Source organism: Homo sapiens, chromosome 7, assembly GCF_000001405.40.
Source record: "Homo sapiens chromosome 7, GRCh38.p14 Primary Assembly".
Taxonomy (NCBI): Eukaryota; Metazoa; Chordata; class Mammalia; order Primates; family Hominidae; genus Homo; species Homo sapiens.
This window is the reverse complement of record NC_000007.14, coordinates 53,320,002-53,333,743: the sequence shown is the minus strand read 5'-3', so window position 1 is coordinate 53,333,743 and position 13,742 is coordinate 53,320,002. Positions and strand designations below refer to the sequence as shown.

Sequence of the window (13,742 nt, the reverse complement as noted above, 5' to 3'; positions counted from 1 at the left end):
AGAAAAGATTACACATTTATCACATATAAAAGTCTTACAAATTTAATTTTTATTGATCTGAAAATGCTGAGAAATTATAGTGCTATTATCAATTGCATAAGTAGAATCAGAGAGGAAGAACATAAGAACTATCAGTGTACGTGGTGGAAATAGCAAAGAAAGACCTTTAACACCTAAAATGGATATGCTTTGTCATTGACACTATAGTGTTTTGTTACTACTTCTATGATATTAAAAAAATCCTACTTTCATATCCCTTTATAGAAGTGGGAATTTTATTCAAAACACTATGCCTTTTAAACTACAATTTTCTAATCACTAAATATATAAATAAAATATGTTTTTACTTTAATAATTTGTTCTGATTTCCAATTTTTTTTAAATTTTACTTTAAGTTCTGGTATACATGAGCAGAATGTACAGGTTTGTTACATAGGTATACATGTGCCATGGTGGTTTACTGCACCTATCAACCCTTTGTCTAGGTTTTAAGCTCTGCATGCATTAGGTATTTGTCCTAATGCTCTCCCTCCCATTGCCCCACCCCCCGACAAGCTCTGGTAGGTGATGTTCCCCTCCCGGTGTCCAGTGTTCTTATTGTTCAATTCCCACTTATGAGTGAGAACATGTGGTGTTTGGTTTCCTGTTCAATTTTTTAAACTGTAGAAAAATTCTAAATAAACTGTAAAGATCAATACTATGAATACTGGCAAAGTATTAGTCACAGCATTGCTTTCCATTTCACTCTTCTAAAAATTTATCATGAATTATTTCTCCAATCAAATTATATGAGGAGCTTACCCACATACAAGAGGGTTGAGCATTTTCAATGAGCATTTTCATGATCCATTCGATTATATCAACATGGCAGTCTCCACTGGCTCATTTTCTGTAGCCGCACACACTAAGCCAACACTACTGAAAAATTTGGGCAGTTTCCTAGGCACTTCAAATCATGAACATTTTGTTCCAACATCTTTAGTAATGCTGTTGTTTTTCTGAATGATAGTGCACTGCTCTGCTCTATACTGTAAATTTAAATGGAGGCACATTCCCAGTTCAATTAACGAGTGTGCAGCATGGGCAAGAGAGCAATTTGGCTACTCCAATGGGCAGATCAGGGCACTGCAAGACCCAGCTGCATGGCTGTGAAATGGGAGGATGTGTGTAGTAGTTGAAAATGCTCAAGAGTTGGCAACAAAAGCTGTAGTTCTTTCATAAGGTCTTGTGTTTATGTTTCATTGTTTACTTCTTTATCTCTTTCACCTGTTAGACTGTAAGATCTTTGAGGGCACAACTTGATTTTATTTACCCACTGTAATTTTATTGACTATCTTATTTTCTACCACATGGGACAAACTTAAAAATTAATTTTTGGTTTAACAGATTAGGTCATTTTTGCTATACTGCAGCCTTAATTTAGCATTTCCATATATATATATGAACATATACTATAAAGATTAAATATAATTTGCATTTGCATTGGAAAATTGCTTCTGTTAAAAAAATAAATAATATGTAATTATAAACATAAAAATTTGCAGATCTTTTAAAATAAAACCATAAAATTTTATATACAGGCATAAAAGAAGACTAAAAATGCACAGAATTTCTTATGTAACCAGAATCAATAGTGAACAGGTATCTACTCTAGAAATTTTCTACACATGTCACAAAATTAAATTAAAATATAATATAGTTAAGGAAAGACTAAAATCAAGAGTTATGATGAGAAAATATCTCTATCCAATATTGAAATGAATTATGAAATAATAATGATTAAAACCTTATGGAGCAGACATAGTATTAGAACAGGCAAGAAAATTTAAAGATAGCTTCAAATCACAAAGGAATTTTTTGTAATTTGATGTTCTAATAAGTAGGAAAATTTGCTTATTTGGTAAAAAACTGCAGGATACTGGCAACCAACATGAAAACTAATCCAGATATTGTAAACTGAAAATGAAATCTTAAGCTCCTTACCAACTGAAGGAATCCCCTCCTGGCAAAGGGGACCCTGGAGAAACCTGAAAAACGTCGTCCCTGGCCATGACCAGAAGGGAGGTTGGACAAACCTTGTTATATTCCCTCTCTTCTGGAGTTTAGGCACAACTGACTAGGTTAAAAATAGAAATCATGAAACTGACAGAACAGACTCTCTGTGGCATAAGATAGCAAATTGTCAACAAGACCTAAGGCCATGCTGGGCAAGGCTTCAGTTATTCCCTAAAAAAACATAAAATCTCGTTAAATGGATTTTCTATTAACCTGGCTATAATGTGGCTGACTTTCCATCTTAATGCTGGTACAGCATCACACCGCAGATAAAAGCCCGTGAAGGATATCAAAATATTTTATCCCAAATACATGTCTTTGACATAGTTTGAAATGGCTCTGCAAAGCTGTCTTTTTTGGGGAGGAATTTGCATCTTTAGGGAACCTCCATTAATGCAATTAGGCCTTTCTCAGATCTAGGAGTGATTAACTGAAAGTCTAATGTCATTAATGTCTGAAAAGCGATGTCTACCATCAATGCTCTTTGGGACTGCTACTTATGAGGCTTCATCTATGTAACAAGAACCTTGGCTCCCACAATCCCCTTATCTTAACCCAAGCATTTCTTTCTACTGGCTTCAAGTCCTTAGACAATATCTTAATTCTCTCAGCCAGTTGTCAAATAAATAATCCCTAAAACCACCTATGACTTGTGAGCCCTTGCTTCAAGATGTCCCACCTTTTCATGCTGAACCAATGTATATCTTCCATGTACTGTTTGATGTCTTTGACTGTAACCCTTGTCTCCTCAAAATGTATCAAACCAAACTGCAACCCAACCACCTTGAGCAGGTTTTCTCAGGACCTCTTGTGACTCTGCCCCAGGTCCTGGTCAGTCATATTATCTCGGAATAAACCTCTCTAAAGGAATGGTACCACATCCTCCTTGTACCTCTGGTAGATTCGGCTGTGAATCTGTCTGGTCCTGGACATTTTTTGGTTGGTAGGCTCTTAATTATTGCCTCAATTTCAGAGTCTGTTATTGATCTATTCAGGGATTCAACTTCTTCCTGGTTTAGTCTTGGGAGGGTGTATGTGTCCAGGAATTTATCCATTTCTTCCAGATTTTCTAGTTTACTTGCGTAGAGGTGTTTATAGTATTCTCTGATTGTAGTTCGTATTTCTGTGGGATTGGAGGAGCTGGTACTATTCCTTCTGAAACTATTCCAATCAATAGAAAAAGAGGGGATCCTCCCTAGCTCATTGTATGAGGCCAGCATCATCCTGATACCAAAGCCTGGCAGAGACACAACAAAAAAAAGAGAATTTTAGACCAATATCCCTGATGAATATCGATGCAAAAATCCTTAATAAAATACTGGCAAAATGAATCCAGTAGCATATCAAAAAGCTTATCCACCATGGTCAAATGGGCTTCATCCCTGGGATGCAAGGCAGGTTCAACATATGCAAATCAATACATGTACTCCAGCATATAAACAGCACCAAAAACAAAAACCACATGGTTATCTCAATAGATACAGAAAAAGCCTTTGACAAAATTTGACAGCCCTTCATGCTAAAAACTCTCAATAAATTAGTATTCATGGGACGTATCTCAAAATAATAAGAGCTATTTATGACAAACCCACAGCCAATATCATACTGAATGGGCAAAAACTGGAAGCATTCCCTTTGAAAACTGGCACAAGACAGGGGTGCCCTCTCTCACCACTCCTATTCAACATAGTGTTGGAAGTTCTGGCCAGGGCAATCAGGCAGGAGAGGGAAATAAAGGGTATTCAATTAGGAAAAGAGGAAGTCAAATTGTCCCTGTTTGCAGATGACATGATTGTATATCTAGAAAACCCCATCGTCTCAGCCCAAAATCTCCTTAAGCTGATAAGCAACTTCAGCAAAGTCTCAGGATACAAAATCAATGTGCAAAAATCACAAGCATTCCTATACACCAATAACAGACAAACAGAGAGCCAATTCAGGAGTGAACTCCCATTCACAACTGCTTCAAAGAGAATAAAATACCTAGGAATCCAACTTACAAGGGATGTGAAGGACCTCTTCAAGGAGAACTACAAAGCACTGCTCAACGAAATAAAAGAGGACACAAACATATGGAAGAACATTCCATGCTCATGGATAGGAAGAATCAATATCATGAAAATGGCCATACCGCCCAAGGTAATTTATAGATTCAATGCCATCCCCATCAAGCAACCAATAACTTTCTTCACAGAATTGGAAAAAACTACTTTAAAGTTCACATAGAACCAAAAAAGAGACCGCATTGTCAAGTCAATCCTAAGCCAAAAGAACAAAGCTGGAGGTATCACACTAACTGACTTCAAACTATACTACAAGGCTACAGTAACCAAAACAGCATGGTACTGGTACCAAAACAGCATGGTACTGGTACCAAAACAGAGATATAGACAAATTTAACAGAACAGAGCCCTCAGAAGTAATATCACACATCTACAACTATCTGATCTTTGACAAACCTGACAAAAACAAGCAATGGGTAAAGGATTCCCTATTTAATAAATGGTGCTGGGAAAACTAGCCATATGTAGAAAGCTGAAACTGGATCCCTTCCTTACACCTTATACAAAAATTAATTCAAGATGGATTAAAGACTTACATGTTAGACCTAAAACCATAAAAACTCTAGAAGAAAACCTAGGCAATACCATTCAGGACATAGGCATGGGCAAGGACTTCATGTCTAAAACACCAAAAGCAATGGCAAGAAAAGTCAAAATAGACAAATGTGATCTAATTAAACTAAAGCGCTTCTGCACAGCAAAAAAAACTACCATCAGAGTGAACAGGCAACCTACAGAATGGGAGAAAAATTTTGCCATCTACTCCTCTGACAAAGGGCTAATATCCAGAATCTACAAAGAATTTAGACAAAGTTACAAGAAAAAAAAAACAACTCCATCGGACAAAGGGCTAATATCCAGAATCTACAAAGAATTTAAACAAACTTACAAAAAAAACAACCCCATCAAAAAGTGGGCAAAGAATATGAACAGACACTTCTCAGAAGACATTTATGCAGCCAACAGACATATGAAAAAATGCTCATCATCACTGGTCATCAGAGAAATGCAAATCAAAACCACAATGAGATACCATCTCACACCAGTTAGAATGGCGATCATTAAAAAGTCAGGAAACAACAGGTGCTGGAGAGGATGTGGAGAAATAGGAACACTTTTACACTGTTGGTGGGACTGTAAACTAGTTCAACCATTGTGGAAGACAGTGTGGCGATTCCTCAAGGATCTAGAACTAGAAATACCATTTGACCCAGCCATTCCATTACTGGGTATATACCCAAAGGATTATAAATCATGCTGCTATAAAGACACATGCACACGTATGTTTCTTGCGGCACTATTCACAATAGCAAAGCCTTGGAACCAACCCAAATGTCCATCAGTGATAGACTGGATTAAGAAAATGTGGCACATATACACCATGGAATACTATGCAGCCATAAAAGAGGATGAGTTCATGTCCTTTGTAGGGACATGGATGAAGCTGGAAACCATCATTCTCAGCAAACTATCCCAAGGACAAAAAACCAAACACCACATGTTCTCACTCATAGGTGGGAATTGAACAATGAGAACACATGGACACAGGAAGGGGAACATCACACACTGGGGCCTGTTGTGGGGTGGGGGGAGGGGGGAGGGATAGCATTGGGAGATATACCTAACGTAAATGACGAGTTAATGGGTGCAGCACACCAACATGGCACAGGTATACATAAGTAACAAACCTGCATGTTGTGCACATGTACCCTAGAACTTAAAGTATAATAATAAAATAAACTCTCTAAATACTTTATTTTCTGTTAACAATATACATCTCCCTCATTAATCTATTTCAAAATAAATTCCAGGGGTCCAGTGATTTAAGCATAATAAAATGAAGACATAAAAGTAACCAGACAAAACTTAGAAAAAAATTGACATTTCCAGGGCTGGGCACAGTGGCTCATGCCTATAATCCCAGCACTCTGGGAGGCTGAGGTGGGCAGATCTCTTGAGCCCAGGAGTTCAAGACCAGCCTGGCCAGTATGGTGAAACCCTGTCTCTAATAAAAATACAAAAATCAGCCGGCACACACCAGTAGTCCCAGCTACTTGGGAGGCTGAGGTGGGAGGATTGCTTGAGCTGGGGAGGTAGAGGTTCAGTGAGCCAAGACTGAGCCACTACGCTCCAGCCTAGGTGACAGAGTAAAACCTTGTCTATCAAAAAAAAAAAAAAAGACACTTTTGGTAGTATAAAATATTGTTAAAATGTTTAAATTTTTTTGCTAATAAAGATACTCATTCTTTCATAAAAACAAATTTTGGATAATTATTTTTCATGCATTGAGATAAGAAAGATTAGTTATCACTTTCAGTGGTAAATAAGGAAAGAGAAACTGGTACTGTCATGCATAGTTCCTATGAGTGTAAAATCGTGTGAGCTTTTTGGAGGACAATACAATGCCCTGTATAAGATTCAGAAATACACACATCTCTTTACTGCACAGGTCTATTTCTAATAGTCTATCTTCATATTTATTCTACAAATGTCTGTTGATGCTGTAGAGGCCAATGAGAACTTCCCCTTTGCCTTCTGAGGGTTTTCTGAAAAATCAACTGACAGAAGGCAGGTTAATAGGAGAAAAGGCCTACAATTTTTTTTAACTTGCACGGGAGTCATACACAATATAAGAACTCAAAGAAAGGCAAGATGGTTGACACTTTTATACCACTCTAAGGTTACAGGAAGAATGCGGGCTCCAAGCATGACACAAAAGAGGTTATAGTGCTAAATCTATTTTAGTGGCAAGACAGGTTAAGGGGTGGAGAGGCGATCTTGTTATGTAGATGTAACTCCATAGGTAGCAGCCCTCTGACAGAATAGATGGTCATTGTTTCTTTCAGACGGTTAAAGCTGGCAGTCTTTCCGTTAATCTTTCTAGATCTGTAAAAGGTAGGACCTCAGAAAGCTTGACTGCATCAGCAAAACTCATACACAAAAAACAGCTTTGCAGAGATACTTCTGTTTGCAGGCCGCCTCAACAGCCATCTCAAAATATCAGAAGTATTATATTTTGGAGTGAAATAGTTTAGTTTCTTTCAATGCAAATACAAAAATTATACTTGAGGCATTATATGAATTGAAAAAAAAAAAAAGAAAAACCCTGAAAGTCCAACAACGGATTCTGGGAAGGTAACTGGTAGCACATCCATACCATGGAATTCTATATGAGAATTAAAAACTCAATGCATTTGGAATGTGGTCATGATAACAAATAATTGATGTTTTCTAAATTTCTGTGTGATATATTCCAAAAATATTATTAAATGATTGAATATGTAGGAGAAATGTTTCACAATTTATTATGCAAGATTATAGTACAAATTCACCCTTGCTAGAGATAGGAAAAGAATTAATACTTAAAAAATTCTACATCTTAAACTTTCTATTTTTCTTGTAATTCATTTCCAGTAAGTTAAAATTTGTTCATAATTCATTTGCTGGTGATAAATTGTCTTACATAATTCAAATATTTTTTAGATATTTTAACAGATGTTCCTTAAACATTGCAATAAAGAGAGAAGTACTTTTTGAAAAGCACTATTTTGTGGAATTAAATAGCACTCATGAGAACAGCAAATCACCTAATTATTTTTCACAACATGGGAAAACGATTGTCGTCTGGGTTCAGTTGGTCTGGGCACTTTTATGTGTTTGGAAATTTCAGAGCTGTGTGTTGGATGAACTTTTTAGATTTAGTTTTGAAGGAATCTAGTAACTCTGCTGGTTTAATGATTTAATATTTCTGATTTTTCAGAGATCTTGGTTGTTTAATCCAACATTAGTGTGTGCAGATCAGAGGAATGGAAGAAGACAATGTGGTTATTTTCTAAACCCTTTCTATAACTTAGCTGAATATTTACCCACTCAAGAAGTGTTTACCAAGCCTATTGTTAAAAATATAATTTCTGAATATTTCTAACAGTTTAGAAAAATAACCTATATTCCTTAAAAAATGACATGAAGAAATTGAATTTTGTTCTTTGAGGGAAAAGCTTTTATAATTCCCAAGAAAATAAGTTAAGGTATTGAATTATACAAAATTTAGTCAAGTGGACCCTGTTAAAATGTTCATTTTCTAATTTTAAGATAGAATATTTGGAGTACATGTATATATAATTAAGTATTATTTAGTATTGTGAAATTAAATAATTCCACCTTAAAGTTGTTGGAACTTTATTCTGAGCCTTGGGGGGAATGTGGCTATGCAGCCTGAGTCATGCAGCATGCAGCTCCAACTTTTGCCTTTTTTTTTTTTTTTTTACTGTAAACGATAAGGAAAACCAAATGGTGTCAGAGATAAGACCTCTTCAGATTACTCCTCAGATTACCTCTCCTTAACAAGTAATACAGTCATCTTCCTTGGAATGCAGCAGTCTGTAACAGATCAAATCTCTATCAAATCTCTGTCACATATGCACTGGTCTTGCATGGGAAATATCATTATCCTGTTAAAATATCTCTGTCTCTACCTTTGTAAGTGAAACTTTAACTTCATTTTGTAACACTGTGTACTAGTCCATTCTCATGCTGCTATAAAGAAATACCCGAGGCTGGGTAATTTATAAAGGAATGATGTTTAATTGACTCAGAGTTCGGAATGGTTGAGGAGGCCTCAGGAAACTTACAATCATGCCAAAAGGGGAAGCAAACATGTCCATCTTTACACGGTGGCAGCAAGGAGAAGTGCTGAGCAAAAGGGAAAAAGCCCCTTATAAAACCATCAGATCTCATGAGAACACACTCACTATCATGAAACTAGCATGAGGCTAACAGCCCCATGATTCAATTACCTCCCACCAAGTCCCTCCCACGACATAGGGGGATTATGGGAACTACAATTCAAGATGAGATTTGAGTGGTGACGAAGTAAAACCATATCACACTGCCCATTTATTTGGAGCCAGTGTTCCCGAATGACATTCCTCAAGTTTTATGTTCAAATAAACTACTTCATCCTACTTTCTGTTGACAGTACACCCATATATGCACAAGTTGAACATTTTTATCATAGTTGCTCATGTCACATCTCCTCCTCTCCTCTTTGAGTTTTCTTCATATAACTCATCCAATGTATTAAGTATGTAAGTGTCTATTTGTTTATTGTCTGTCTCCCCAACTAAGTTATACATTCCATAAGAGCAGAGATTTTTGCTTACAGATAAATATTTGTTTCATAGATGAATATCTAAAACTAACAATCTGAGGCCAGGCACATTGGTTCATGCTTGTAATCCCAGCACTTTGGGAGGCCAAGGTGGTTGGATCACTCCTAACACCTAAGGTTAGGAGTTCAAGAGCAGCCTGGCCAACATGGTGAAACCTCATCTCTACCAAAAATACAAAAATTAGCTGGGTCTGGTGGAGCACACCTGTAGTAACAGCTACTTGGGAGGCTGAGGCAGGAGAATCGCTTTAACCTGGGAGGCAGAGTTTGCAGTGAGCTGAGATTGTGCCACTGCACTCCAGCCTGGGCAAAAGAGCAAGATTCCATCTGAAAAATAAATAAATAAATAAATAAATAAATATTAAAAAATAAAACAGTCTGGTTGATAAATACATCTTTAGTCATAACAATATTCCCTTGATATCCAACTTCTACAATTCTCTTATGAATGGAAAATAAACCGTTTCCAATTTCTAAATGTTTTTATCTACTGAGGATTTTAGATAACATTTATTTATACAAATATTTTCCTGAATATACTACAGATAACATTTTTAATTTTCTCATGGAGATATTATGAGGATTAATAAAATAATACACTTTATGTTTCAAATCTAAGCAACCATAAAAACAAATTACTTTCACCACTATGTGGGAAGTGCATTTAGAATTTGCATAGTATAATGCAGAGGAGTTTAATATAATAATGACTCTTTAACAGAGATATTGAAGGCAAACAGGTTTATTTGTAGATAGGTTCTAAGATAGAGCAACATTAGCTTCAGGGTGACACAAAACTGTAGGAAATTATTTGGAATGGCAATAAGACCATTATAGATCATCTGCCAGACAAAATAATCCACCATTTTGATTATTAAAGTGCTTTATAAACATCTTCGCTTAATTATCATAAGTTACATCTCTAGCAACTAGTTCCATCCCTGCTCACTGTGTAATTTTGTCAAGTTATTTAACCTCTCTGTCCTTAGTAGCCTCATTTGTAAAGGGGGATAAACGTATCCTTACTGAGTAGAGTTTTGAGAAGGATCATCTGTATCAATTTTGTAAGAGGTCTGCTATACAGGAAACACTGTGAAGGTATTATTATTATTATTATTATTATTGTTATTGTCATGAGGAGGAGTGGTCATAAAAATTAAAATATGAAGTTTATTACTAACTAGAAAATATTAATATATATTAAAACCACAAGGTGGCGGGCATTAAATAAATCCTATTCCAATGTGTATAGTAGGACACTATTTGTTACCTTTACAAAATCATAAGAATATCAATAAATTTAAGAAGAAAGATAAAAGACAAATATGAAGCAACAATATGTATCAACCAACAATTATGGAATATATTGAAAGGAAATAAGTAGTTTTTATTAACTTGTGTGGCCTAGATAATTATTTTCCAGTTTCATTTCTTTCAGTATAACATTGCCTGAATATGCTGCAATTTTCTCAACCCTTCTGCTATTGAGAGGTGAAGCCAGCTGGGCTTCTGGGTCAAGTGGGGAGTTGGAGAATTTTTGTGTCTAGCCAAACAATTGTAAACTCACCAATCAACACTCTGTGTCTAGCTAAAGGATTGTAAATGCACCAATCAGCACTCTGTAAAATGGACCAATCAGCACTCTGTAAAATGGACCAATCAGCAGGATGTGGGTAGGGTCAAATAAGGGAATAAAAGCTGGCCACCCAAGCCAGCAGTAGAAACCCACTGGGATCTTCTTCCAGGCTGTGGAAGGATTGTTCTTTTGCTCTTTACAATAAATCTTGCTGCTGCTCAGTCTTTGGGTCTGCACTACCTTTATGAGCTGTAACACTCACCGCGAAGGTCTGAGGGTCTGCCGCTTCACTCCTGAAGTCAGCGAGACCATGAACCCACTGGGAGAAACAAACGACTCCAGATGAGCCACCTTTAAGAGCTGTAACACTCACCGCGAAGGTCTGTGGCTTCACTCCTGAGGTCTTGCGAACCCACCAGAAGAAGAAACTCCGGACACACCTGAACATCTGAAGGAATAAACTTAGGACATACCGTCTTTAAGAGCTATAACACTCACTGCAAGGGTCTGTGGCTTCATTCTGGAAGTCAGCAAGACCAAGAACCCACCGGAAGGAATAAATTCCGGACCCACTATCAGCTGATATTCCTGTATTTCCAGTGTTCAGCTATTATGAAGAGGTTGCTAAAAACATATGTATATGTTTTGGCTCAGAAAACAGTATGCATAATGACGGCCTTAGCAGCAGTCACAAGCAAGAGTTTTTCTCTGCCCTCCTGCCTCCTGTTCCTTAGCTCCATTTTCCCCTAAGGCAAGCCCTGGAAACCAGAATTCCTTTCCCCAAAGCCAACCATAAAGCCTAAAAATATTACTCTAAGATTTCCTCTGTCGTATCTGTGTAAAAACTGTCCATCAAGAAATTATCTCACCCATGATTTTTGACTGTACATCATAAGATCCCCACATTGCAGAGACTGCCTTACCATATGTCCAGAAGAAAGGAGTACATACTCTGGAGGCTCAAAGAATCCAGGTGGCCTTGCTGGGTCTCCCCAGTCTGTCTACAAGTATCACATTATATCGTTTTTTGTCCAATCACATTTCTACACAGATCTCCACATTTGTTAAACCTAAGCATAAAAATGGACGATTTCCCCTGTGCCTTTGTGCCTTCATTCCGAAGACTCCCGTGTATACAAATTAAATAAATCTGAATGCCTTTTCTCCAATTAATATGCCTTTTTCTGAGTTAATTTTTCAGAGAAACTTCAGAATGCCAAGGGTTTCCCTTGGCCTTTACGTATACATATGAAAATATGCAAATAAAAATGTGTATTGAACTAACAAAACAGAAATATAGCCTAAAAGCATAAAAAAGCATGAAGCAAAATGACAAAAATGAGAATATTATTTAATTATGAGAGTACATTTAAATCAATTAAAATGCTCTATTCTTACGAATTGACAGAGATTATTGAATTGCATTAAAACACAACACTTTTAGCTCTAAAGAGAGCTAAACAAGTTAACTAAAGAGAGTCTGTAACAGTGACACAAAATATTTAAGACATCACCAGCAAATATTGTAAAAAAAGAACTCATTCTGAAACATTAAATGAGGCACAGAGGATATTAATGTTTTATAGACACAATTGACAATAAAGTCATTCAAATCATAAATATTTTTCTACTAAATGCTATAGCAATTGCAAAAAAGAAATTAAAATTGAACCTTCAATTTTAAATGCGATGTTAAATATGTTAAGCTTTAGGAAACTGGAAATAATAATTCTTTAGGATAATAAAGGATATTTAAGTCAAATGCTAGTATCTTATTTAAGTATAAAAGTAGACCTATAATTATTAAAATAAGCAATTAAAAATGCATATTTATCAGCAAAACTATCAGTATTGTTGAAGAACTTCTAATTACTATAAATATCAGTCAATGAAAACATTTGATGCAACTGTCAGAAGGAAAAAGAGAAATATTGTTTTTATATAATTTTGTTGACTTCGTGAAAGACATATGAAAATCTATAAAAATGAATGTAAGTCTTCAGTAAATTGACTAACCACAAAAGTAAATTAATATTTTAAGGTGTAATAGTTTTCCAATGCACAAGTACTGTCCACTAGAGTGAGACAGACAGAGATAAATGACAGATGGAAGGATGGAGAGACAAAGCGGCATTCCATAGAGAAATTAGATGCTTTCGTTTCTTAATCACACTCCACTAATTGGTTAAGATTTCAGAAATGGTTGGAATTAGATCTCTAGTTTATTCTAAAATTTCAAAACTAATCATAAAATTTAATATAAAAATAAATCATGGAGGTAATAGATCCACGTTTACGAAAACTTGTGGTAAAAAAGGATTTTTTTCAGCGTGACATCATGGCAAATATTACAGAAATGTTTGATAGCCTCCACGAGATTTTAATTTTTCTTCCACTGACTGAATAGAATGTTAAAAAATCTGTATAAAAAATTGATGAAGAAACATGTTTAAAGTGAAAGGACACACTATAGCACAAATATTTTCAGAGAAGTGATTAATATGTTGCGTGAAGATCCTAACAAAACACTGATATTGTGATAAAAGCCCAGTAGGATAATGGGAAAACATGTGACCTTACAGTTCATGAAAAGAAATAAATCAGCCAGTTATCAGAATGAAGAAGGAAGGAGAAGAGGAGAAACAAAGTGAAGAAGGAGAGGGAGGAGAAGAAATTTAATGGAACAATATTCAAATAAAAGTAGCAAATATAAATTTCTGAATATGAAAACAAACAAGCAAATGACTGCTCCCAGCACTTTATATTGCCCCCATCATTCATTTATACATTTATTCTTGTATCCATTCACCAGTGAATTCCAGTGTTTTCAGCCCCTTATGGCATTGCCATTGCAGGACTAGCTTACAGGTTTTAAAGG

At 35.9% G+C, this 13,742-nt stretch overlaps 1 annotated feature.

The window, feature by feature from the left end:
* Window positions 6,455–7,302: an enhancer, noted in NCBI's record as "OCT4-NANOG hESC enhancer chr7:53394135-53394982 (GRCh37/hg19 assembly coordinates)". NCBI's record gives its function as "activates a minimal SCP1, AML or CMV promoter by ChIP-STARR-seq in naive H9 embryonic stem cells {active_cell/tissue: H9 hESC(naive)}" and the evidence as "EXISTENCE:reporter gene assay evidence [ECO:0000049][PMID:30033119]".